General features: G+C 41.5%; 1 protein-coding gene across 33 annotated transcripts in view; it reads right to left on the reverse strand.

The window, feature by feature from the left end:
* Positions 1 to 24,511, reverse strand: part of DPP8 (dipeptidyl peptidase 8) — a 75,223-nt gene that overhangs the window by 16,722 nt on the left and 33,990 nt on the right. For 29 of the 33 annotated variants that reach the window (NR_135485.2, NR_135486.2, XR_007064467.1 and 26 more), the window contains 7 exons: positions 22,327 to 22,427; positions 21,034 to 21,211; positions 19,692 to 19,851; positions 15,021 to 15,100; positions 7,883 to 8,035; positions 7,490 to 7,625; positions 4,573 to 4,718 (listed from right to left, as the gene is read on the reverse strand). Coding sequence is in view for 28 of the 33 variants with exons in the window: in NM_001438669.1 (NP_001425598.1) it covers positions 4,573 to 4,718; positions 7,490 to 7,625; positions 7,883 to 8,035; positions 15,021 to 15,100; positions 19,692 to 19,851; positions 21,034 to 21,211; positions 22,327 to 22,427 (954 nt within the window). In the remaining 5 variants the exon portion in view is untranslated. Of the gene's footprint in view, positions 1 to 4,572; positions 4,719 to 7,489; positions 7,626 to 7,882; positions 8,036 to 15,020; positions 15,101 to 19,691; positions 19,852 to 21,033; positions 21,212 to 22,322; positions 22,428 to 24,511 lie in introns of those variants that run through there. The other 4 variants (XM_017022383.2, XM_017022382.1, XM_005254505.1 and 1 more) reach the window with 3 other exon arrangements.

A 24,511-nucleotide genomic window follows, 5' to 3' on the forward strand; every position in this document is an offset into this window, starting at 1 on the left:
TCTTTTGACACATGGTCTCACTCTCTTGTCCAGGCTGGAGTGCAATGGCATGATCACAGCTCACTGCAACTTCAAACTCCCTGGCTCAAGCAATCCTCCTATCTCAGCCTCCCAAGTAGCTGGGACCAGAGGTGTTTGCCACCATGCCCAACTAATTTTTTTATTTTTTGTAGAGATGGGGGTCTCCCTATCTGGTCTCGAACTCCTGGGCTAAAGCGATCCTCTTGTTTAAGCCTCCCAAAGTGCTGGGATTACAGGCATGAGCCACCACACCCAGCCCAGATTCTTCTCTGGCCTCACCAAATTTGAATTTTTCCAAAGAATATTCTGAGAAAGAAATCAATAAATCATCCTAAGTCACCTATAGTTTTTCAAAAACCACATGGTGAAATTCACTCATAGCCTTTCAAATATGACTGTTCGGTAAGTGCAAAAAAGCATAGCTGTACTGCATAAAGTATTCTAAACAATTAATTTTTGTTTTGGCCAGGTGCAGTGGCTCACGCCTGTAATCCCAGCACTTTGGGAGGCCGAGGTGGGTAGATCACCTGAGGTCAGGAGTTCGAGACCATCTTGGCCAACATGGTGAAACCCCATCTCTACTAAAAATATAAAAATTAGCCAGGTATGGTGCTGCGCACCTGTAGTCCCAACTACTCAAGAGGCTGAGGCAAAAGAATTGCTTGAACCTGGGAGGTGGAGGTTGCAGTGAGCCGAGATCGTGCCACTGCGCCCCAGCCTAGGCAACACAGCGAGACTCCATCTCAAAAAAAAAAAAATTGTTTTAATTGAATTGGCTAACATTTTTTAAATTATGGTAAAATATATATAAAATTTACCATTTCAACCATTTTAAGCATACAATTCAATGACATTAAATATATTCATGCTGCTGTGTAACCATCACCACTATCCATTTCCAGAACTTTTTCATCACCCAAACAGAAATTCTGTACCCATTAATAACTTCCAGACAGGCATGGTGGGTTACGTCTGTAATACCAGCACTATGGGAGGCTGACGCGGGTGGATCATTTGAGGTCAGGAGTTCGAGACCAGCCTGGCTAACATGGTGAAACCCTGTCTCTACTAAAAATACAAAAAATTAGCCAGGCATGGTGGTGCACGCCTGTAATCCCAGCTACTAGGGACGCTGAAGCAGGAGAATCGCTTGAACCCAGGAGGTGGAGGAGGCAGTGAGCTGAGATCATGCCTCTGCATTATAGCCTGGAAGACAGAGCGAGACTGTCTCAAAAACAAAGAATCAAACAAACAAAGCACTCAAACACTCCCCATCCTCCTTCCATCCAGTCCCTGACAACTTCTATTCTACTTTCTATCCCTATGAATTTGCCTATTATAGGTACCTCATACAGGTGGAATAATATTTGTCCTTTTGTGTCTGGCAATAATTATTTCACTTAGCATAATGCCCTCTAGGTTCATCAGTGTTATACTATATGTCAGAACATCCTCCTTTTTAAGGCTGAATAAAATAATATTCCGTTGTATGTATAGACCACATTTTGTTTATCCATTCATCTGTTGATGGACACGTGCACTGCCTTTTGGCTATTGTGCATAATGCTGCTATGGCTATGGCTGTATAAGTATCTGTTCCTGTCCATATTTTCAATTCTTCTGGGTATATACCAAGAAGTGGAATTTCTGGCTCATATAGTAATTCTATGTTTGACATTTTGAGGAAATGCCATACTGTTTTCCACAGCAGCTATAACATTTTATATTCTCACCAGCAATGAACCAGGCAGGGTTCCAATTCCTCTACATCTTGTACAGCACTTAATATTTTCCTCTTTTTGATAACAGCCAATCCAATGGGTGTGAACTGGTATCTCACAGTGGCTTTGATTTGCATTTCCCTAATGACTAGTCATATTGAGCATCTTTTCATGTGGCTAAGCCTCTTTAAACTTAATTACTCATATAAGGAATCCTTTAAATCTTTTTCTTGAGACAGGATCTTGCTCTGTCACCCAGGCTGGAGTATAGCGGCATGATTATGACTCACTGCAACCTCGAACTCCTGGGCTCAGGGGATCCTCCTGCCTCAGCCTCTTGAGTAGATGGGACTGCAGGCATGAGCCACCACGCCTAGCTAACTTTATTTTTCTGTAGAGACGGGGTCTCACTTTGTTGCTCAGGCTTGTCTCCCAACTCCTAGGCTCAAGTGATCCTCCCTCCCAAATTGCTGAGATTACAGTTATGAGCCACTACACCCAGCCTAATCTTTAAAATCTAGTTTTTAGAATGTCTTTTAACAATCCTATATACTGTATCATTTCTTCACTGGGAGGGGAAAATCTTCTTATTTAGTCTTACCATCAAAATAATTTAACAAATGTATAAAGCTTGAGAGTGTCCTATGATTTTTCTCTTGAGTTGCTTTCTATTAAGCCTTTTTTTTTTTTGAGACAGAGTCTCGCTGTGTTGTCCAGGCCGGAGTGCAGTGGTACGATCTTGGCTCACTGCAACCCTCCAGCACCTGGGTTCAAACGATTCTCCTGCCTTAGCCTCCCAAGTAGCTGGGACTATAGGCACTTGCCACCACTGGCTAATGTTTGTATTTTTAGTAGACACAGGGTTCCACTATGTTGGCCAGGCTGGTCTTGAACCTCTGACCTCATGATCCGCCTGCCTTGGCCTCCCAAAGTGCTGGGATTACAGGCTTGAGCCATCGCGCACAGCCGACCGTTTTTTTTTTTTTAAAGTTTACAAATATTTGACTTCAAGCTTTAACCAGAAGTCTAAAATTTAACTTCCTTTCTTTCTTTTTTGAGACAGGGTCTTACTCTGTTGCCTGGGCTGCAGTGTAGTGGCACAATCTCAGCTCACTGCAACCTCCACCTCCCAGGTTCGAGCAATTCTCCTGCCTCAGTCTCCCTAGTAGCTGGGATTACAGGTGTCTGCCACTGCGCCCGACTAATTTTTGTATTTTTAGTAGAGACAAGGTTTCGCCATGTTGGCCAGGCTGGTCTTGAACTCCTGACCTCAGGTGATCCTGCTGCCTCAGCCTCCCAAAGTGCTGGGATTACAGGCTTGAGCCACAGCGCCCGGCTAACTCTTTCATGACTTGTGTAGATGAAAATACAAATGTCAATCATATTTTGTTTGTAAACACACTTGATGGCAAAGTGATTTAGAGATTTTATGGTTTATGTAGTTATTTTACTTTTTTTGTGTACAATTTGGTATGTAGATACATTTCCAGATACTAAATAACTGGGTATAATTATTAAAGGGTATTACTGAATCTAAGGATTGCATTATGAAAAGACTGTAATTATATTTTAATTTCTTCCAAGGCTCAGTGTAGGATATATAATCAAGAATAAACAATTTTAAAATTTAGCAATTAACCAATACACCCATCCAAAATATATATATTTTGGACAGAGTCTCGCTCTGTCACCAGGCTGGAGTACAGTGGCACTATCTCGGCTCACCGCAACCTCTGACTCCCTGGTTCAAGCGATTCTCCTGCCTCAGCCTCCCAAGTAGCTGGGATTTTAGGCACGCACTACCACGCCCAGCTAATTTTTATATTTTTAGTAGCGATAGGGTTTCATCATTGTTGGCCAGGATGGTCTCGATCTCCTGACCTTGTGATCTGCCCACCTCGGCCTCCCAAAGTGCTGGGATTACAGGCGTGAGCCACTGCGCCTGGCCAAAATATTTCACTCCAATAGTCAAAGCATTTACTTAACAGTCATTGGCTAATACTTAATCCAGAATAAGGAAAATCAAGGTATAAACTTCTTACAGTGCTAAATAGTAGTATAGCAGTTGCCTTAACTAGCTGATAAAAATATTTTAATTTGCTTGAGAGACACAGCTTTAGAATGAAGAGGGAGAATTCACTAGGCTACCAAAGCTTTCTAAAAATATCTGTTAAGACTCTTTTGATTTACCAAGACATTTAATTATTTCATTTTATTTCCCAAACAAGTTTCTCTACATAGAAAGCAACATATTTACCTACTGACATGAACACCGCACTCCTCACAGAACTATAGTCCACACTGCAAATTAAGGAACTGCCTTAGTGGCAGGGCACGGTGGCTCACGCCTGTAATCCCAACACTTTGGGAGCCTGAGGCGGGTGGGTCACTTGAGGTCAGGAGTTGGAGACCAGCCTGACCAACATGGTGAAATCCCATGTCTACTAAAAATATTTTAAAAATTAGCTGGGCATGGTGATGTATGCCTGTAATCCCAGCTACTTGGGAGGCTGAGGCAGAAGAATCACTTGAACCTGGGAGGCGGAGGTTGCAGTGAGCCGACATTGCGCCATTGTACTTCAGCCTGGGCAACAAGAGCAAAACTCCATCTCAAAAAAAAAAAAAAGACTCAGTGATTTACAAATTAAACCTCCAACAAAAACCAGTTTCCTGACCCCCTAAACTGAATAATTGGAATATAAGACGGAGTCATTAAAAGCAAATGCCCAACAATGCTCAAAATCTTAAACTGACTAGACATTTAAAAAACAAAAGATCTAAAATACATATGCATATGGGTGTATGTATATATGTATATAAATATGCCCACCTGAGGACCACCATATATGAACAGCACAGTAGGATATTTCTTTCCAGGCTGTAGATCATGAGGCTTGTAGAGCATCCCATACAATGTAAATCCAGTAGTACTTTCAAAAGAGAAAATTTCTGGAGGAGTATAGTCAGGAAGAGGACCTGTGAATAGGTAACATAACAGAGTCTACAAAAGAGTTCTTATGGGAGTGCTACAATCTGGGAACAAGAAACAAGATATTAAAAGTCAGCCCCGCCAACACAAACTGACCACCCCTCTTTCAGATGATAAGCTAGAATTTAAGCAAGAGTATATTCATCTTTAAAAACAAAACTAGGCCGGGCGCAGTGGCTCATGCCTGTAATCCCAGCACTTTGGGAGGCCGAGGCAGGTGGATCACAAGGTCAGGAGTTTGAGACCATCCTGGCTAACACGGTGAAACCCCGCCTCTACTAAAAATACAAAAAATTAGCTGGGCATGGTGGCAGGCGCCTGTAGCCCCAGCTACTCGGGAGGCTGAGGCAGGAGAAGGGTGTGAACCCGGGAGGTGGAGCTTGCAGTGAGCTGAGATCACGCCACTGCACTCCAGCCTGGGTGACAGAGCGAGACTCCATCTCAAAAAAATAAATAAATAATTTAAAAAAAACAAAACTAGGCCAGGCACGGTGGCTCACACCTACAATCCTAGCATTTTGGGAGGCTGAGGTGGGTGGATTGCTTGAGCCCAAGAGTTTGTGACCAGCCTGGGTGGCATGGCAAAACCCTGTCTCTACAAAAAAATACAAAAATTACCCAGGCATGGAGGTGTGCTCCTGTAGTCCCAGCTACTCAGGAGGCTGAGGCAGGAAGATTGACTGAGCCCAGGAGGTTGAGGCTACATTGAGCTGTGCCCTGTGACTGCGCCACTGCACTCCAGCCTGAGCGACAGAACAAGACACTGTCTCGACAACAACAAAAACCCACCAAATAAAGAACAACAACAAAACAAACATATCAAATTATTTCAGAAGCAGACACAGAGTGTTACCAATAATCCTTGGAGCCTAGGAAATGTCTATGTGCAGAACTATACAGATACTTTATGCTCAATATAACTTATTGTTGATTAAACCATATATCTGGTTAGAAACAGATAAAGCTGGGTGGGGGGGTGAGGTAAATTATTAGTCAATTTAATTTTTCAGGGTAGGTGACCAAAAACATTTGCTTCTGATCATTAGAAAATAAGCCTAACCAGAACTCAGAAAAAAGTCATCATTAGCTTTTGGTTCACCAAAGCTATACAGACCTCTCCTAAGTGTTTGTGTACAGCAGATAATTTACAGTCTAAGCAGAGATCATCACCATATTACAAGTTCTGATTCTGCTTGTGGACATTAAAACACACTTATATTTTTTGGTTCTGTACTAATTTGTTTTTTCTTTTTTTTTTTTTTTTTTGAGACAGAGTTTCACTCTGTTGCCCAGGCTGGAGTGCAGTGGTGTGATCTTGGCTTACTGCAACCTCCATCTCCCAGGTTCAAGTGATTCTCCTGCCTCAGCCTCCTGAGTAGCTGGGAGTACAGGTGCCCACCACCACGTCTGGCTAGTTTTTGTATTTTTAGTAGATGTGGGGTTTCACCATGTTGGCCAGGCTGCTCTTGAACTCCTGATCTCAAATGATCCAACCACCTCAGCCTCCCAAAGTGCTGGGATTACAGGCATGAGCCACTACGCCTGGCCTAATTTCTTAACCCCTTAGCAGAAATAGCTAGTTAGTGAAAATACTAGAAAAAAAGATTGGAGATTAAAGTGAATTAGATGATACATAAAACCAGTCCATTCTTTTTTTTTTTTTTTTGACTCCGTCGCCCAGGCTGGAGAGCAGTGGCACAATCTTGGCTCACTGCAACCTCCGCCTCCTGGGTTCAAGCGATTCTCCTGCCTCAGCCTCCTGAGTAGCTGGGACTACAGGCGTGTACCACCACACCCGGCTAATTTTTTGTATTTTTTAATAGAGACAGGGTTTCACCGTGTTAGCCAGGATGGTCTCGATCTCCTGACCTTGTCATCCACCTACCTCGGCCTCCCAAAGTGCTGGGATTACACGTGTGAGCCACCACGCCCAGCCCAGTCCATTATTTATGTTTAAGAAATCAAATATTTTAAACAAATAATTCAGTTTTTCTCTCATTCCAGAGAGAGCAAGTGTTCTTTTATTAAAATAGCTATTACAAGTGCTTCAAAAGTTTAAGAAAGCTATCAGCTGGTTATTCTCCAAAGTTGCAGCTTCCTTGCTCAAAGAGTCTTACTAGTTCAGAATACTATTCTCCTCAAGTTCATTTGTTTACCTGAGAAATCATCAAAATTTGTGAATAAATTGTTTCCTAGCTGACACCTTGACTATTTTAATCTTATTTTCTTTATTTGTTGAGACAAGGTCTTGCTTTGTCACCCAGGCTGCAGTTCAGTGGTGTGATCTTAGTTCATTGCAACCTCCGCCTCCCAGCTTCAAGTGATTCTCATGCCTCAGCCTCCTGAGTAGCTGGGACAACAGGCACACAGCACCACGCCCAGCTAATATTTGTATTTTTAGTGGAGACGGGGTTTTACTAATTGGCCAGGCTGGTCCCGAACTCCTGACCTCAAGTGATCCACCCGCCTTGGTCTCCCAAAGTGTAGGGATTACAGGTGTGAGCCACTGCACCTGGCCTTAACCTTATTTTCAAAAAGGCCTTCCAGACTTGCTGCTGCTTGGAGTGAGAAGTAACCCATCTTATTCAGTAGCTAACAGAATAGGAGAAGAGGGATCTATCAGGAGCTCAGCAGCTCAGGGACAGGCAGTGGTGAGAGATGGAAAGACTTGTCCAGGAAATGTGAAAATATGACACACGTTTAGTGTACTAATATATTAATCCTACTTAACGTCAGGATCAGGGGGAAAAAAGAATACCTGCTGAATCCAAAATGGTGGCCCAAAATTCCTTTGTTTTGCAAGTTGGGTCATCTTCAGGACTTGATAGCTTGTAAAGGGACACACAGTGTGGATTCTTCTGGTTACTATACTTACTTATAAAGAAGTCACAGTGCTAGAGAAAGGAGAAACAATTATATTTTTCGTCAGGAAGGTAGAAAAGGTTATCTGCTGTTACATCTGCACTAATGATATAGCAAGAGTATTATAAGAGACTATTTATGTACATATACAATGTTGAAATTAAGCTTTTTAAAGCTTTTCCTTAGAGAATTAGGCTTTTGCAGGCCAATTTCACATCATTCAAAAGGAGTATTACATAAGCAGAGAGTTTTAATATGACACAAAACCCTTTTTAAACAAACTTAATACCTGACTGATGCAGCAAGAATGTGAGTAGCCACGGTCAGTCAGCCTTGTCACCTCTCCAGGATTTACGTAACTGACTACGTACAGGTGATGCTCTAAAGGGGAGTCTTTGGTGCCTTCAAAATATACCAGCCTTCTGACTTCATCAACTTGGATCTGACAAGATAACAACAATAACAAAATCAGGGCTAACATGACCTTGGCAAAGCTAACCCCCAATTTTATTTACAATCACTTGAGCCACTCCTTGACTTATGCCTTCTTTTTTCTTTTTTTTGCTGCCACTATTAATAAACCTGAGTTAATTTTGCTTATTTATTTATTTTTTAAAGAGTTGAGGTCTCACCTCTGCTACCCAAGCTGTAATGCAATGATGCGATCATGGCTCACTGCAGCTTCAAAATCCAAGGCTGAAGCTATACTCTCACCCCAGCCTCCTGAGTAGCTACAAGCATACACCACCATGCCCAGCTAAGTTTCTAAATGTTTTTAAGGAGATGAGGCCTCACTATGTTGCCCAAGCTGGTCTTAAACCCATAGCTTCAAGCAATCCTCCTGCCTCAGCCTCCCGAAGTATTGGGATTACAAACATGAGCCACCATGCCTGGCTGTTTATGACTTATAGCTAAGAACAGGTCCTGCCCTGAAGGAAAAAGGACACCTGAGTTACACACTGTATAGTTTCCCATCTGGTCAGAATGTGTGTTTTTCTTAAAATACAAGAATTATTTCCTTAAAATAACAACTCTTTACAGGGGAAAAAATACTCTGCTATATTGCAGCTTAGGGCAATCATTCATACATACTTGAAAGTCTAATTTTACTATCTTGTATATTTATTAGTTAGTGTTATATTATCTTAGGCAGTACTTTTTTGGTCTTTTGTACAAATTTGCAAACGTGTTTTATCTATTGGGTTGTGGAATAACGGAACTAAATCAGTTTCAATACTGGTATAGTTTACAAATAAACATGGATAAGATCTTTTAAGTCTTCATTCAGAACTCAAAAAAACCGCAAGTAAATTCAATAGCTGAATTCACTTAATATTCTTCTCAAATTACAGCACGATTTCAAATAAATGGCTTTCTTTTATTGTTCCTATAAATCTTCTACCAGCCAACTCAAACAATGTTTAAGAAAATGGCCAGATGTAGTGACTCACATCTGTAATCCCAGTGTTTTGGGAGGCCGAAGTGAGAGGATCGTTTGAGCTTAGGAGTTTGAGACCAGTCTGGGCAAAATAGGGAGACCCCATTTCTACAAAAAATGAAAAAATTAGCTGGGCATGGTGATGCATCCCTGTAGTCCCAGCTACTTGGAAGGCTGAAGTAGAAGGATCACTTGAGCCCAGAATTTGAAGCTGCAGTGAGCCATGATCATGCCAATGCATTCCAGCCTGGGCAACAGAGCAAGACCCTTATCTCAAAAAAAAAAAAAAATTCAAATTTTTTACACAGCAATGAAAACACATATAAATTTCTAAAAGCAAGTTATTTTTAAATGCCTTTTTTCCCCCCAGGAAGCTGCCTCTTCATCACTAAACATTTTTTTAGCATGCATAAATAGAAATCAACACAGTTGGGATTAAGTAGGCCCACATGACACATACAGAAAGCATACAAATGATAGGAAACAAATATTCATGAAACTTTACAAGTACGTGTTAATCTTTGCAAAAGATCAGGACTCATTCCGTTTTGACCTAGCGGATGGGAGTCAGGCCTTTCAAGACTAAAAAAATAACCAGTCAATTCCTCACCACCATCTACAATGGTTTTCTTCTTTCCTGTAACTACTTAACATCCAAGGAAGTATCATAATTGTGTGGGGGGCTTGTTAAACAGATTACTAAGCCCCACCACCAGAGTTTGATTCAGGATGTCAGAGGTGGGCCTAAGAATGTGCATTTCTTTTTGCTTTTTGAGACCGAGTTTCGCTCTCGTTGCCCAGGCTGGAGTGCAGTGGCGCGATCTCGGCTCACTGCAACCTCCGTCTCCCAGGTTCAAGCGATTCTCCTGCCTCAGCCTCCTGAGTAGCTGGGATTACAGGCATGTACCACCACGCCTGGCTAATTTTGTATTTTGAGTAGAGACGGGGTTTCACCATGTTGGCCAGGCTGGTCTCGAACTCCTGACCTCAGATGATCCGCCTGCCTCGGCCTCCCAAAGTGCTGGGATTACAGGCATGAGCCACTGCGCCCAGCCAAGAATGTACACTTCTAACAAGTTCCCAGGTGATGCTGACACTTTGCTGTTGGTCCAGCACTTTGAGAACCACCCTTAACAATAAAAAGCTCATAGGCAGCTGGGCGCAGTGGTCCAGGCCTGTAATCCCAAAACTTTGGGAGGTGGAGGCGGCAGGTCACTTGAGGTCAAGAGTTTGAGACCAGCCTGGTCTCACGGTGAAACCCCATCTCTACTAAAAACACAAAAATTAGCTGGGCATGGTGGCATGCACCTGTAATCCCAGCTACTCAGGAGGCTGAGACAGGAGAATCGCTTGAACCTGGGAGGCAGAAGTTGCAGTGAGCCAAGATCATGCCATTGCACTCTAGCCTGGGCAACAAAAGCAAAACTCCGTCTCAAAAAAAAAAAAAAAAAAAAAAAATTACAAAAATTAGCCAAGTGTGGTAGTGGATGCCCATAATCCCAGCTACTCGGGAGGCTGAGGCATAAGAATCCCTTGAACTCAGGAGGCAGAGGTTGCAGTGGGCCGAGATCGTACCACTGCACTCCAGCCTGGGTGACAGAGCGAGACTCCATCTCAAAAAAGAAAAAGAAGCTCATAGGCTTAAAAGTCTTAAAGCTTTACCCAATTACTGCCATTAGAAATCTTTGGGTAGATGGCCAGGTGTGGTGGCTCACACCTGTAATCCCAGCACTTTGGGAGGCCAAAGCAAGAGGATTGCCTGACGTCAGGAGTTCGAGACCAGCTTGGCCAACATGGCAAAACCCCATCTCTGTTAAAAACACAAAAATTAGCTGGGCATGGTGATGGGCACCTGTAATACCAGCGACTCGAGACTTAAGCAGGAGAATCACTTGAACCTAGGAGGCGGAGGTTGCAATGAGCTGAGATCGCACTACTGCACTCCAGCCTGTGCAACAGAGTGAGACTCTTGTCTCAAAAAAAAAAAAAAAAAAAAAAAAAGAAAGAAAAAAGAAAACAACTTTGGGTGGGAACAGTCACTTGTAAAAGTAGAGAAGGAAAAAGGTAACTTAAGTCAAAAAACAAATCAAGAATAGAGGGAAAGGGCTGGGCATGGTGGCTCACGCCTGTAATCCCAGTACTTTGGGAGGCTGAGGTGGGCAGATCACGTGAGGTCAGGAGTTCTAGACCAGCCTGGCCAACATGGTGAAACCCCGTCTCTACTAAAAATACAAAAATTAGCCAGGCTTGGTGGCAGGTGCCTGTAATCCCAGCTAGTCAGGGGGCTGAGGCAGGAGAATTGCTTGAACCTGGGAGGCAGAGGTTACAGTGAGCCAACATCGCACCATTGCATTCTAGCCTAGGGGACAAGAATGAGACTTGTCTCAAAAAAAAAAAAAAAAAAGAATAGAGGAAAAGGCCAGGTGTGGTGGCTCACGCCTGAAATCCTAGCACTCTGGGAGGCCAAAGTGGGCAGATCACCTGAGGTCACGGGTTCAAGACCCTCCTGGCCAACATGGCAAAACCCTGTCTCTACTAAAAATACAAAAATTAGCTGGGCATGGTGGTGTATGCCTGTAATCCCAGCTACTTGGGAGGCTGAAACAGGAGAACTGCTTGAACCCAGGAGGCGGAAGTTGCAGTAAGCTGAGATCATGCCACTGTACTCCAACCTGGGTGACAGAGTGAGACTCTTATCTCAAAAAAAAAAAAAAAGAGGGAAAATAGAGAAGAGGGAAAGACAGACTAACGTATCACAAGTAAACATGACATGAAAGAAAACTGATAAACGTAGTGGCAAGTAGTAGATGTTTAGGTGACTCAAATAAGGATCAGATGTATGCAATTACAATTATTGGGGTTCCCTCAGCATTATGTAATGACTCATCCTTCAATCATCACATAGCACGAAATTTACATCAGTGTAGTTTTCTGTTTTCAGAACCTAGAATTCCACAATAAGATTTTTTTCTCAGGTGACAGTAATATCCAAGGTACTTCAACAGAAAAAAATATTTGGAAACAAAAATAAAACAGAAAAAAATTATTTGGATATATAACAAGAAGGCCACTTGAGGATCTCAGTGGAAATGAGACCTTAAAGGTCAGTCTTGATACCCTGAAGTTTTTGTTGTTGCTGTTGTTTTGAGGCGGGTATCATTCTGACACCCAGGCTATAGCATAGCATTGTGATCACAGCTCAATGCAGCCTCAACCTCCCGGGCTAAAGCGATCCTCCCACCTCAGCCTCCTTAGTTACTGGGACTATAGGCATGCACCACCATAACCAGCCTATTTTTTTTTTTTTTTTTTGGTAGAGATGGAGTCTCCCTATGTTACCCAGGCTGACCTCAAACTCCTGGGCTAAAGCAATCCTCTTGTCTTGGCCTCCCAAAGTGCTGCAATTACAGGTATGCCCCACCACACCTGCCTAATTTAAAATTTTTTTTGCAGAGACGGAGTCTCACTATGTTGTCCAGGCTGGTATCTAATTCCTGGGCACAAGTGATCCCTCGACACTGGCCTCCCAAAGTGTTGGGACTACAAGTTTGAGCTACCATGCCCAGCAGATACTCTAAAGTTTTTACTAACAAAAACAAACCTGGGATCTGGATCTTCATTATGTCTCCTTAATCACTTTAGAGACTACAAGTGATTTTTACAGTAGCCAGTAAACATAATCCTTCAATAAATCTTCCTGTCAATTTGAGGAAACCACATTTAGTTAGGCCTTCACTAAATCCTGGCAGCATACCTCAACTATATGTGTCACACACATACAGGATGGAGTTCCTAGAGATCTCATGAATGTGATCATCCAAGTGACAGCTGAAACAAATGCAAGGTACTTCAAAAACGCAATTTTTTTTTCTTTAAAGAATTCACTGAATTGGTACTGAGAATAAAACACAGGGTAGACTTCCTTCCTTTTCCCTATCAATCTAAGCTCTGTATAAATGCCCATCACTCTTTGCAGGTGGTGGATTAAAGTTTAAATTTGTGGGGCAAGATAAACACATGAATGAAAGACAAGTACTACTTCAGAAGAAGTAAATGCAATTTATTTATTTATTTATTTATTGGTTTTTTTTGAGCCAGAGTATCACTGTTTCAGCCAGGCTGTAGTGCAGTGATGTGATCATAATTCATTTGCAGCCTAGACTTCCTGCACTCAAGCGATTCTCCTGCCTCAGCCTTCCAACTAGCTGGGACTACAGGTGCGCATCACCATGCCCAGCTAATTTTTTTATTTTTTATTTTTGGCAGAGACAGGGTCTTATATGTTGCCCAAACTGTTACTGAACTCTTGGCCTCAAGCGATTCTCCAGCCTTCATCTCCCAAAGGGCTGGATTACAGATGTGAGCCACTGTGCCCAGCCAGTAAACGCAATTTATAATGTAGACACAAGTAGTCTATAATAGATTTTTAAGTTACTTTTCAAACCATATGCTAACTTACAACTTTTGCTAGGCTCTAAAACTATGAATATGCCCCTTTCTCATCAAGGAGCAATAATACATTTTAAAATGGTGGGCTTGGCCAGGCGTGGTGGTTCACACCTGTAACCTCAGCACTTCAGGAGGCCGAGACAGGTGGATTGCTTTAGCTCAGGAGTTTGAGACCAGCCTGGGCAACATGGCGGAATCCCGTCTACAAAAAATACAAAAATTAGCTGGGTGTGGTGGTGTGTGCCTGTAGTCTCAGCTACCTGGGAGGCTGAGGTGGGAGGAAGGCTTGAGCCCAGGAGGCAGAGGTTGTAGTGAGCCAAGATTGTGCCACTGCAATCCAGCCTAGGCGACAAAGTCAGACCCTGTCTCAAAAAAGAAAAGCAAATGGTGAGCAGGACGCAGTGGCTCACACCTGGGAGGTGGCAAGGTGGGAGGATCCTTCAAGCCTAGGAATTCAAGACCAGCATGGCCAACATGACGAAACCCTCTCTCCTAAAAATACAAAAATTAGCCGGGCATGGTGGTGTGTGCCTGTAATCCCAGCTACTCGGGAGGCTGAAGCAGGAGAATTGCTTGAACCCAGGAGGTGGAAGTTTCAGTAAGCCAAGATCATGCCACTGCACTCCAACCTGGGCGACAGAGTGAGACTCCATCTCCAAAAAAAAAAAAAAAGAAGAATAGAGGGAAAATAGAGAAGACAGACAGACTAACCTATCACAAGTAAACATGACATGAAAGAAAACTGATAAATGTAGGGGCAAGTAGTAGATAGTTAGGTGTAGTAGGTGTTTAGGTTTGAGACCAGCCCAGACAATATATATGAGACCCTGTCTCTACCAAAAATTTAAAAATTAGCTTGTCGTGGTGGCGTACACCTGTAGTCCCAGCTACTCCAGAGGCTGAAGTGGGAGGATCGTCTGAGCCTGGGAGGTTGAGACTGCAGTGAGCCATGACTGTGCCCTGCACTACAGCCAGGGTGACAGAGCAAGACATTGTCTCACAAAAAAGAAAAGAAAATAACCTTTGGTAATCAGAACACATCTATAAAAGGGCTATAAAATAAATGAGATTTATCATTTAAACTAAGATTATTTCTTTCCAACAACTTGAGTAATTTTAGGCCGTAACTTAATATTTTAAAAATACTGGGGTCGGCTGGGCGCAGTGGCTCACGCCTGTAATCCCAACACTTTGGGAGGCTGAGGAGGGCGAATCACAAGGTCAGGAGTTTGAGACCAGCCTGGCCAACATGGTGAAACCCCGTGTCTACTAAAGATACAAAAAAATTAGCCGGGCGTGGTGGCACATGCCTGTAATCCCAGCTACTTGGGAGGCAGAGGCAGGAGAACTGCTTGAACCCGGGAGGTGGAAGTTGTAGTGAGCCGAGATCACCCCATTGCACTCCAGCCCTAGGCGACAGAGCAAGACTCTGTCTCGGAAAAAAAAATACCGGGGTCATATTAAATTACATTACTCATTTTTAGCACTGCATTCACACAGTAATACTGACCAAACATATCAGTAGAATAAAATAACATACATTAGATCCATGCCGGCCAAGAACTTCCCATTCACCACTGGTAATTGCTATCTCCTCTTTGATAGGACACTTGAAATCACCTGAAGATAAATATAATTATAATTCAGTACATTATACCAGACTATAAGCAAATGAAACAATTAAGAACAGTACTCTAAGCTCTTTTTTCCAAAAAGTTATGTTTGGGGTAATAAAAATGTTTTGGAACTAGACAGAGATGATGGTTGCACAGCATTGTGAATGTACTAAATGCCACTGCATTGTTTGTTTATTTTTATTTTTCATTTTTTTGTAGACAGTCTCGCTCTGTTGCTGAGGCTGGAGTGCAGCGGCATGATCACAGCTCACTGCAGCCTTGACCACTTAGGCTCAAGCTTTCCTCCCACCTCAGCCTCCTGAGTAGCTAGAACTAGACACCACTAAACCCAGCAAATTATTATTTTGGTAGCAATGAGGTCTCACTATATTGCCCACGCTGGTCTTGAACTGCTGGCCTAAAGCCCCCTGGCCTTGGCCTCTCAAAGTGCTGGGATTACAGGCATGGGCCTGAATTGTTTATTTTTAAATGGTTAACTTAACGTTTTATGAATTTCACTTCAATAAAAAAAGTCTACAGTTAAAAAAAATCCAAGTTATGAGTCTTTACAATACTCTGGAATAATAATGGAATGATCTATTTAGGTAATGCAAAAACAGCAAAAGAGATTTTTTGGCAAAGCCAGAGGAAAACTCAAAAGCACCTGCATTCTTGAACCTTTGGTTAGACAAAGAAGTCTAATGGATTGACAAAGCATTTCTTTTCGTTGTTTTTTTTTCATAACTTGTTTCTGTTGATTTCTCTTTTTCTTTTTGTAAAACTTTCCCAAGACATTTTCAGATTTAAAAATAAATAAAGTCAGTGTTAAAGGTGTTGGTCAGCCTTCTTACTTGTACCCTTCTACCTCTGACACTGGGGTAAAGGAGGAAGTCCAGGGCAATGCAGTGATATTTCTGCCAGGATACTCCCCCTCCCCTAAACTCAGTAGTTAGTTGAGAGTATGACATTTACAGAGAGAGGCTAGAGAGACCCAAATACCTCTATTCCACCCCAGTGGTAGGTGGAAGTTGGGTCAGCTGCTGCCCCGAGCCAGCTTTATCTTCTGAGTGTGGGCTTTGGAGGAACAGGAGAACTGGCTCTTGGCCACTGTGAGGGGTACAGCTTTGCCACTCAAATATACCTTATTATGGCATTCAGGGAGCCAGGGTCCAGAGCTGCAGGGCTGGGGTCCCTGTCTCACTCCCACATAGGCCATCACATGACCTGCCATAAAGGCATTAAAACCAGCCCGGTGCAATCCATCCCCAGGCACTGAATTAGGACTGGCTTGACTCCCTGGCACTTCTGAGGTAGCCATATCAGCTATTTCAACAAGGCATTTCTTCTAGAAATGCAACAAACTACTTTAAAACTCACAAAAGAAAATGTTTAATACAATTGTTCTTCATTTGCCAAAAAATAACCCAGGTAAGTGTTTACCATAGCAAATGTCAACATGCCCCATTTGTTTTGTTTTTGTTTTTTTCCTGTTCTGCTCTGTCGCCCAGGCTACAGTGCAGCGGCACCATCACAGCTCACTGCAGCCTTTACCTCCCCAGACTCAGGTGATCCTCCCACCTCAGCCTCCCAAGTAGCTGGGACTACAGGCTCATGCCACCACACTTGGTTAATTTTTTTTTGTCTTTTTTGTAGAGATGGGGTTTTGCCATGTTGCCTAGGCTAGTCTCAACTCCTGGACTCAAACAATCTGCCTGCCTCAGCCTCCCAAAGTGTTGGGATTACAGGCGTGGGCCACCTCACCCAGCACCCATTTGTTTTTATGAGCTTCTGTCTTGATGAGGCTCTCTCAGCGGCCTAAGGAACAGCTTAAAAAGTGAAAATCATTTCTCTTTTCCTCACTGCTTATATCTATTGCTGTGGGGAGTGACAGCTGATGACAGGCCTAGGTGGTGAGGCTGTATTAGTGTCTTTCCTAGGGTTCCACGTAAGTTTAAAAAAATATTTTAAACTCGAAGAGCACAAAAAAATTAAAAAATCAATTTAGTACTTTAAATACTATAGACAGAAATTAAAATAAAATTTAATTTTTTTAAAACATAAAATTATATGTTAACATATAGATAACAAATACTAACTGTTTTACATTACAGCTCTTAAGAAAGCAAAGAGGAGGGAGAAGGAAATGAAGTAGATATGAAGGTAAAGGAGGATGACTTGGAGCAAGAAAGACTAAGAGGGCTATTATTAAAAAAGCAGAATATAACAACTATCATCCGAACGTAGACAAATTAAAACCCTGTGCACTGTTAGTGGGAATGTAAAATGGGGTAGCAGTAGCCACTACCGTTGGTGTTCCAATGGTGTAGCTCCTATGGAAAACAGTATGGTAGCCCCTCAAAAAACTGAAAATAGAATTACCATATGATCCAGAAATTCCACTTTTGAGTACATACCCAAAAGAATTGAAAGCAGGGACAGGAACAGATACTTGTACACCCACGTCCACAGCAGCATTATTCACAATAGCCAAAAGGTGGAACCAATCCCAGTGCCCATCAACAGATGAACAGATAAACAAAATGTGGTATATACATACAACGAAACCTTACTCAGCCCTAAAAAGGAAAGGAATCCTGACATGCACTACAAAATGGATGAAACTTGAGGACATTATGCTACGTAAACAAGCCAGTCAAAAAAGGACAAAAACTGTATGACTCCACTAAATAAGACATCTAGAGTAGTTACATTCACAGAGACAAAGTGGCTGCCAGAGATTGGGGGAAGGGGGTAATAGAAAGTGACTATTTAATGGATAGTTTCAGTTTTGGAAGATGAAAAAAATTCTGGAGACAGATGGTGGTGATGATTGCACAACAACATGAACATAATCAGCCGGGTGAGATGGCTCACGCTTGTAATCCCAGCATTTTGGGAGGCCAAGGCTGGTGAATCACATGAGGTCAGGAGTTCGAGACCAGCCCGGCCAAAATACAAAAATTAGCTGGGTATGGTGGTGCATGCCTATAATTCCAGCTACTCAGGAGGCTGAGGTAGGAGAATTGCTTGAACCCGGGAGGCGGAGGTTGCAGTGAGCCGAGATAGCACCACTGCATTCCAGCCTGGGTGACAAGAGCGAGACTCCGTCTCAAAAAAATAAATGAATTAATTAATTTAAAAAATGTATATATATATAAAAACATACTCAATGTCACTAAACTATACCCTTAAAAGTGGAAAAAATGGTCACAATGTTAAATCTTGTTATGTATACTTTTCCACAATTTTTTTTTTTTTTTTTTGAGACAGAGTCTCCTGCTGTTGCCCACACTGGAGTGCAGTGGCGCGATCTCGGCTCACTGCAAGCTCTGCCTCCCGGGTTCACGCCACTCTCCTGCCTCAGACTCCTGAGTAGCTGGGACTACAGGCGCCCACCACCACGCCCGGCTAATTTTTTTTTGTATTTTTAGTAGAGAGGGGGTTTCACTGTGTTAGCCAGGATGGTCTCAATCTCATGACCTTATGATCCGCCTGCCTCGGCCTCCCAAAGTGCTGGGATTACAGGCGTGAGCCACCGTGCCGGGCCTTTTTCCACAATTATTAAAAAGGACCATGCCAAATCTGTTAAGTTACAAATGGCAGTTAAGCATACAACATAACTTATCATAAAGTGCTTCCTATTCTAAAACAAACTATATTATTAAAGTTGAGAACTGTAACTCGGTTTTAGGAAAACCCAGGAAAAGTGTTCTATGTACCCATTTACTTTTCCTAGGCTTATGCATCCATTCCGTATTATATTTTCCAGAAGGAAAACCACCACTTAAGGAAAACCACTTTTTAAAGAAAAATTAACTTCAGCTGATATAACATTTAATTTTACTTTGGGCAACATAATTATATCAATCCAAAGACCTATAACTATAAATTAACTCCAGTGTAGATGCAGATAGTATAAGAAACATCTAGTGTGTAAAAATATCTAATAATTACATAACATTTAAAAAAAATAGTGTTGTCTTTTTTTCTGTTGAGACAGAGTTTTGCTCTGTTGCCAGACTGGAGTGTGGTGGCGTGATCTTGGCTCACTGCAATCTCCGCCTCCTGGGTTCAAGTGATTTTCCTGCCTCAGCTTCCCGAGTAAGCTAAGACTACAGGTGCACACCACCACGCCCGGATCATTTTTGTATTTTTAGTAGAGATGGTGTTTCACCATGTTGGCCAGGCTGGTCTCAAACTCCTGACCTCAGGTGATCCGCCTGCCTTGGCCTCCCAAAGTGCTGGGATTATAGGTGTGAGCCACTGCACCCAGCCAAAAATAGTTTTTTTTAAATGGGCTCACTTTAAACAAATTAAAAATTGCAGTCAAGGCAAAAGTAAAAAGTAAAAATCAGTAATCCTGTTATTTAAGAGATTATTCACTATTAATACTTTATAATACGTGTCAATCCATTAAGAACATTGTCCTGTGTTTTTTACACATACATGTATTTATGTTTTAGTTTAACTTACATATTAAGTTTAACAAAGCAAGTATTGATGCTTATAAAGCATGCAAAAGATACATTCCCCTGTCCCTCCCACCTTCTGCTTCCAACATTTTTTCTTTTTTTAAAATAAAATGGATTTCTTACTTGGAGCAGGCAGCCCACCACTGGATCGTTTATATTTGCTTTCCTTTAAAATAGATGTAATTTTGTATAAATGACGGAAACCTGTTTTGCATTCAGAGGCAAAAATAAACTCAATTTCCTCTTCGTGACTTTGGGGAAAAACATGAAAGATGTCATGGATCTGTAAAATGAATAGCTAAATTTACTATACATATTATGAAAATACTACATAATTCAATTAGGCTACAGGAAAAATTTCTTGATAAATATACTTTGAAATATAAATAACCATCAATGCCAAAGGAATGCTATATTTACAGTAATAAATTTTGCTTGGGGCTTTCAGATTTATTTTACTTTAGTCAAAGACTTTTTCCACTGAGAAGTAAATGTTTTCAAATGGAGTAAAAAAGAAAAATATGACCAAAAGTTTTTTCTTACTCAACATCTCTATAATCCTTGAAACATGGCACAAGGTTTGTTTAATAATATAAATCTTGTTACAGAAAGATGAGGTAATTTTTTTTATTTTTGTTTTCCAAAAAGAATTTTTCTAATAGTTCAGGGGAAAACAGGTGTTCATAGGTGAATCATATGAAGCTTATATTCAGCTAGGAAGTGAGATGGCTTTATTTATTTTGTATCTTATTTAAATTTGTCTGCTAAATTGGAAAATTCAAAATTCAATTAAGAATTGGTATATTGGCCGGGTGCGGTGGCTCACGCCTGTAATCCCAGCACTTTGGGAGGCCGAGGCGGGTGGATCATGAGGTCAGGAGATCGAGACCATCCTGGCTAACAAGGTGAAACCCCGTCTCTACTAAAAATACAAAAAATTAGCCGGGCGCGGTGGCGGGCGCCTGTAGTCCCAGCTACTCGGGAGGCTGAGGCAGGAGAATGGCGTGAACCCGGGAAGCGGAGCTTGCAGTGAGCCGAGATTGCACCACTGCAGTCCACAGTCTGGCCTGGGCGACAGAGCGAGACTCCGTCTCAAAAAAAAAAAAAAAAAAAAAAAAAGAATTGGTATATTTTGGTACAGTTTACCAACATAAAAGAGAAAGTCTTTTCTAGACCAGACTCATGAAGTCCTCTCAGGAGCACTGATGAGGCTGTATATTTAATATCTATTATCTCCAGGAACAAATCTGAAGCCAAGGAGATGTCATTTCAATGGCATCTACTTTCTATCAATACAAACCATTCCATTCTGGAACCATCACTCCAATTGGAAATGCTCATACTAAAGAAATAACATGGTCCCTTTAAACTTAAAAAAAAATGCATTTTGATAGTTTGCTATATAACTTCATTTGCTTTAGCATTCTGAGAAAATATTTAAACAAATACAGGAAAAAATGCATACATTTATCCAGATGTCTGTTGTTTCTTCATAGATAATTAGTGGCGTCACAGAATCAGGCACTGACTCAATGAGTCTCTGCCTTTCCATAACATCATCTTCTACTGGGATAAATAATTCAGGTGAGATCAACACTATCTGTAGGCGAGTCTGGGAGCGATCTAGTAGGATGGACCAAGCACTATTTAAATAAATAAAAGAGAAGAACCAGAAATAAAGCAAGCTATCAGAAAAAGATTTCCCTATTATCTCCTTTGGCACCTATCAATTATATCTGTAATCACCATGAAAGAACTGCTTTAGTGTATATTAAATTATCACTTACAAATAGTTAATTAAAAATACACTTTAAGCTTGAACAGAATTTATAAAAAGTGGCTTTCTTGAAATTTCCAAAACCATAGTTGGCCTGTGAAAGTGTTTTATCCCGGTAGGCTGGCATGATGGCTCATGCCTATAATCCCAGCACTTTGGGAGGTCAAGGTGAGAGGGCTGCTTGAGGCCAGGATTTCGAGCTTACAGTAAGCTACGATCATGCCACTGCACTACAGTCTGGGTGACACAGAGAGAGACCCTGTCTATATAAACAAAAGTTCTGCCAAGTGCAGTGGTTCACACCTGTAATCTCAGCACGTTGGGAGGCCGAGACAAGAGGATCATTTGAGCCCAGGAGTTTGAGACCAACCTGACAACACAGTGAGACCTTGTCTCTACAAAAAATAAAAAAAATTAGCTGGACATGGTGGCATGTCCCCGTAGTCCCAGCTACTCAGGAGGATAGCTTTAGCCAGGGAGGTTGAGGCTGCAGTGAGCCATGATTGCACCACTGCACTCCAGCCTAGGTGACAAAGCGAGACCATGACTCAAAAAAAAAAAAGTTTTCTCCCTTTAGTATCAATGTCAACAAATGCCAGTCTTGTGAAACTCCTGTTGTCTACATTAGACACAGAAACTATTTATTTGTAATCATCCTCATATAAAGCTCTATAATTATACAATTTAAAAAATACACATTTATGTCTGAGCCTTAAAGCCATATGATTTAATCACAAATAACACTGTGAACCATAACTGGCTGAGTATAAAGACAGAATTCAACTGCAGTGCACCTATGCCTATAGGATTACAAATGCACAAATCCACTTAATTCAAGAAAAATGCCTTGTGTAGTAATAACTGTACTGCAAATTTACATGTGAAGGCAGCTCCAACTACAAGGCAAACCTAATAGCACAAATATTCCAAAGCTCTGGATCCTAAATTAGTTATAAAGAAGTAACAATTTAACATACGCACTATTTTCCCTCAGGAGTCCATCCAGCTCTGGCAATATATTCAACTCCTTCAAATAGAATCTCAAAAGGTTGAATTAGTTCCTTATCTATGACATCTATGATCTATTAAAAAAGAAAAAAAAAGAATCTAGTTATAGAAGATTTAGATAAATAATTAGCTTGCTAGTCTACTTTAACAATTTATCCAAAAAGCAGAAAATTTTTCCAGAGTTAGGTATTAAAAAGGAACAAAGGATATAGCAAATCTAGAAGTAAATTCTGGGTTACCTATACTGGTACTTAATTTCTGTGCCTAAAAAAGTTATAAGCACTTTTAACACAGCCTAAAAATCTATTTCTTTGAGTTGATACTAACAGAACACTTGATAATAACTAGTAAAATCAAGTTTTAATCACCTTAGACTCCAGTATCCAGAAAAATAATAGTCCCTAGTTCCCCATATTTCACCTAGAAATATATATATATATATACACACACTAATTATATTTTATTTATACATATATATGTGTGTGTGTGTGTATATATATATATTTTTTGAGACAAGGTCTCATTCTGTTGTCCCAGCTGGAATGCAGTGGCTTGATCACAGCTTACTGCCTTCACAATTTCTCAGGCTCAAGTGATCCTCCTGCCTCAGCCTCCTGAGTAGCTGAGACTACAGGTAAGGTGTGTGCTTGTAATGAAATTAAATAAAATATTAATTTTTAAATTTTTTGTAGAGATGGAGTCTCCCTATGTTGCCCAGTCTAGTCTCAAACTCCTGGGCTCAAGTGATCCTTGAGACACTGGAGAGTCTTCACTCTGTCACCCAGGCTGTAGTGCAGTGGCGCCATCTCGACTAACTGCAACCTCTGCCTCCCGGGTTTAAGTGATTCTCCTGCCTCAGCCTCCCGAGTAGCTGGGATTATGGGTATATACCACCACGCCCAGCTAATTTTTGTATTTTTAGTAGAGACAGGGTTTCACCATGTTGGCCAGGCTGGTCTCGAATTCCTGACCTGAAGTGATCTGCCTGTCTGCCAAATAGTTGGGATTACAGGTGTAAGCCACCGTGCTTGGCCCATTTGTGTAATATACTAAAGAAATAGTCCTGGATAAGCAAAGTTTTTTCTTTTAAAAGTCTAGTAAACACAATTTAAAAAATAAATAATTTTTAAAAACTGCAAAGGATCTGAATAGACAGTCCTCCAAAGAAAATATATACATGGCTAATAAACACAGAAAATGATTCCCAACATCGTTAGCCATCAGAAAAATGTAAATCAAAACCACAATGAGATACCACTTAAAACACAATAGGGGCCGGGTGTGGTGGCTCACACCTGTAATCCCAGCACTTTGAGAGGCCGAGGCGGGCAAATCACAAGGTCAGGAGATCGAGACCATCCTGGCTAACACGGTGAAACCCTGTCTCTACTAAAAATATAAAAAAATTAGCCGGGCATCTTGGCGGGCACCTGTAGTACCAGCCACTCTGGAGGCCGAGGCAGGAGAATGGCGTGAACCCGGGAGGCGGAGCTTGCAGTGAGACGAGATCGCACCACTGCACTCCAGCCTGGGGGACACAGCAAGACTCCATCTCAAAAAAATAAATAAATAAAATAAAAAAACAAAAAAACACAATAGGATGGCTATAGTAAATATAATGGACAAGAAGAAGTATTGGTGATAATGTGGAGAAACTGGAAATCTAATCCACTGCTGGTGGGAATATAATAAAATAGTACATGCTGAGTGTGGTGGCTCACACCTGTAATCCCAGCACTTTGGGAGGCTGAAGTGAGAGGATCACTTGGGCCCAGGAGTGCAAGACCAGCCTGGGCAACATAGGGAAATCCTGTCGCTACGAAAAATAAAATTAGCGGGGCATGGTGGTGTGTGCCTGTGGTCCCAGCTACTTAGAAGGCGGAGGCAGGAGGATCACTTGAGCCTGAGAGGCTGAGGCTGGGTTGAGCTGTAATTGTGTCACCATACTCCAGGCTGGGTGACAAAGTGAGACCTTTCTCTTTTTTGTATTTTTAGTAGAGATGGGGTTTTACCATATTAGGCAGGCTGGAGACTTTTCTTCAAACAATAAAATAAAATAAAATAAAATAAAATAAAATAAAATAAAATAAAATAAAATAGTGCAGCCACTTTGGAAAAACACTTTAGCAGTTCCACAAAAGGTTAAAAAAATAGTCAT

This window comes from Homo sapiens, chromosome 15 (genome assembly GCF_000001405.40).
Source record: "Homo sapiens chromosome 15, GRCh38.p14 Primary Assembly".
Taxonomy (NCBI): Eukaryota; Metazoa; Chordata; class Mammalia; order Primates; family Hominidae; genus Homo; species Homo sapiens.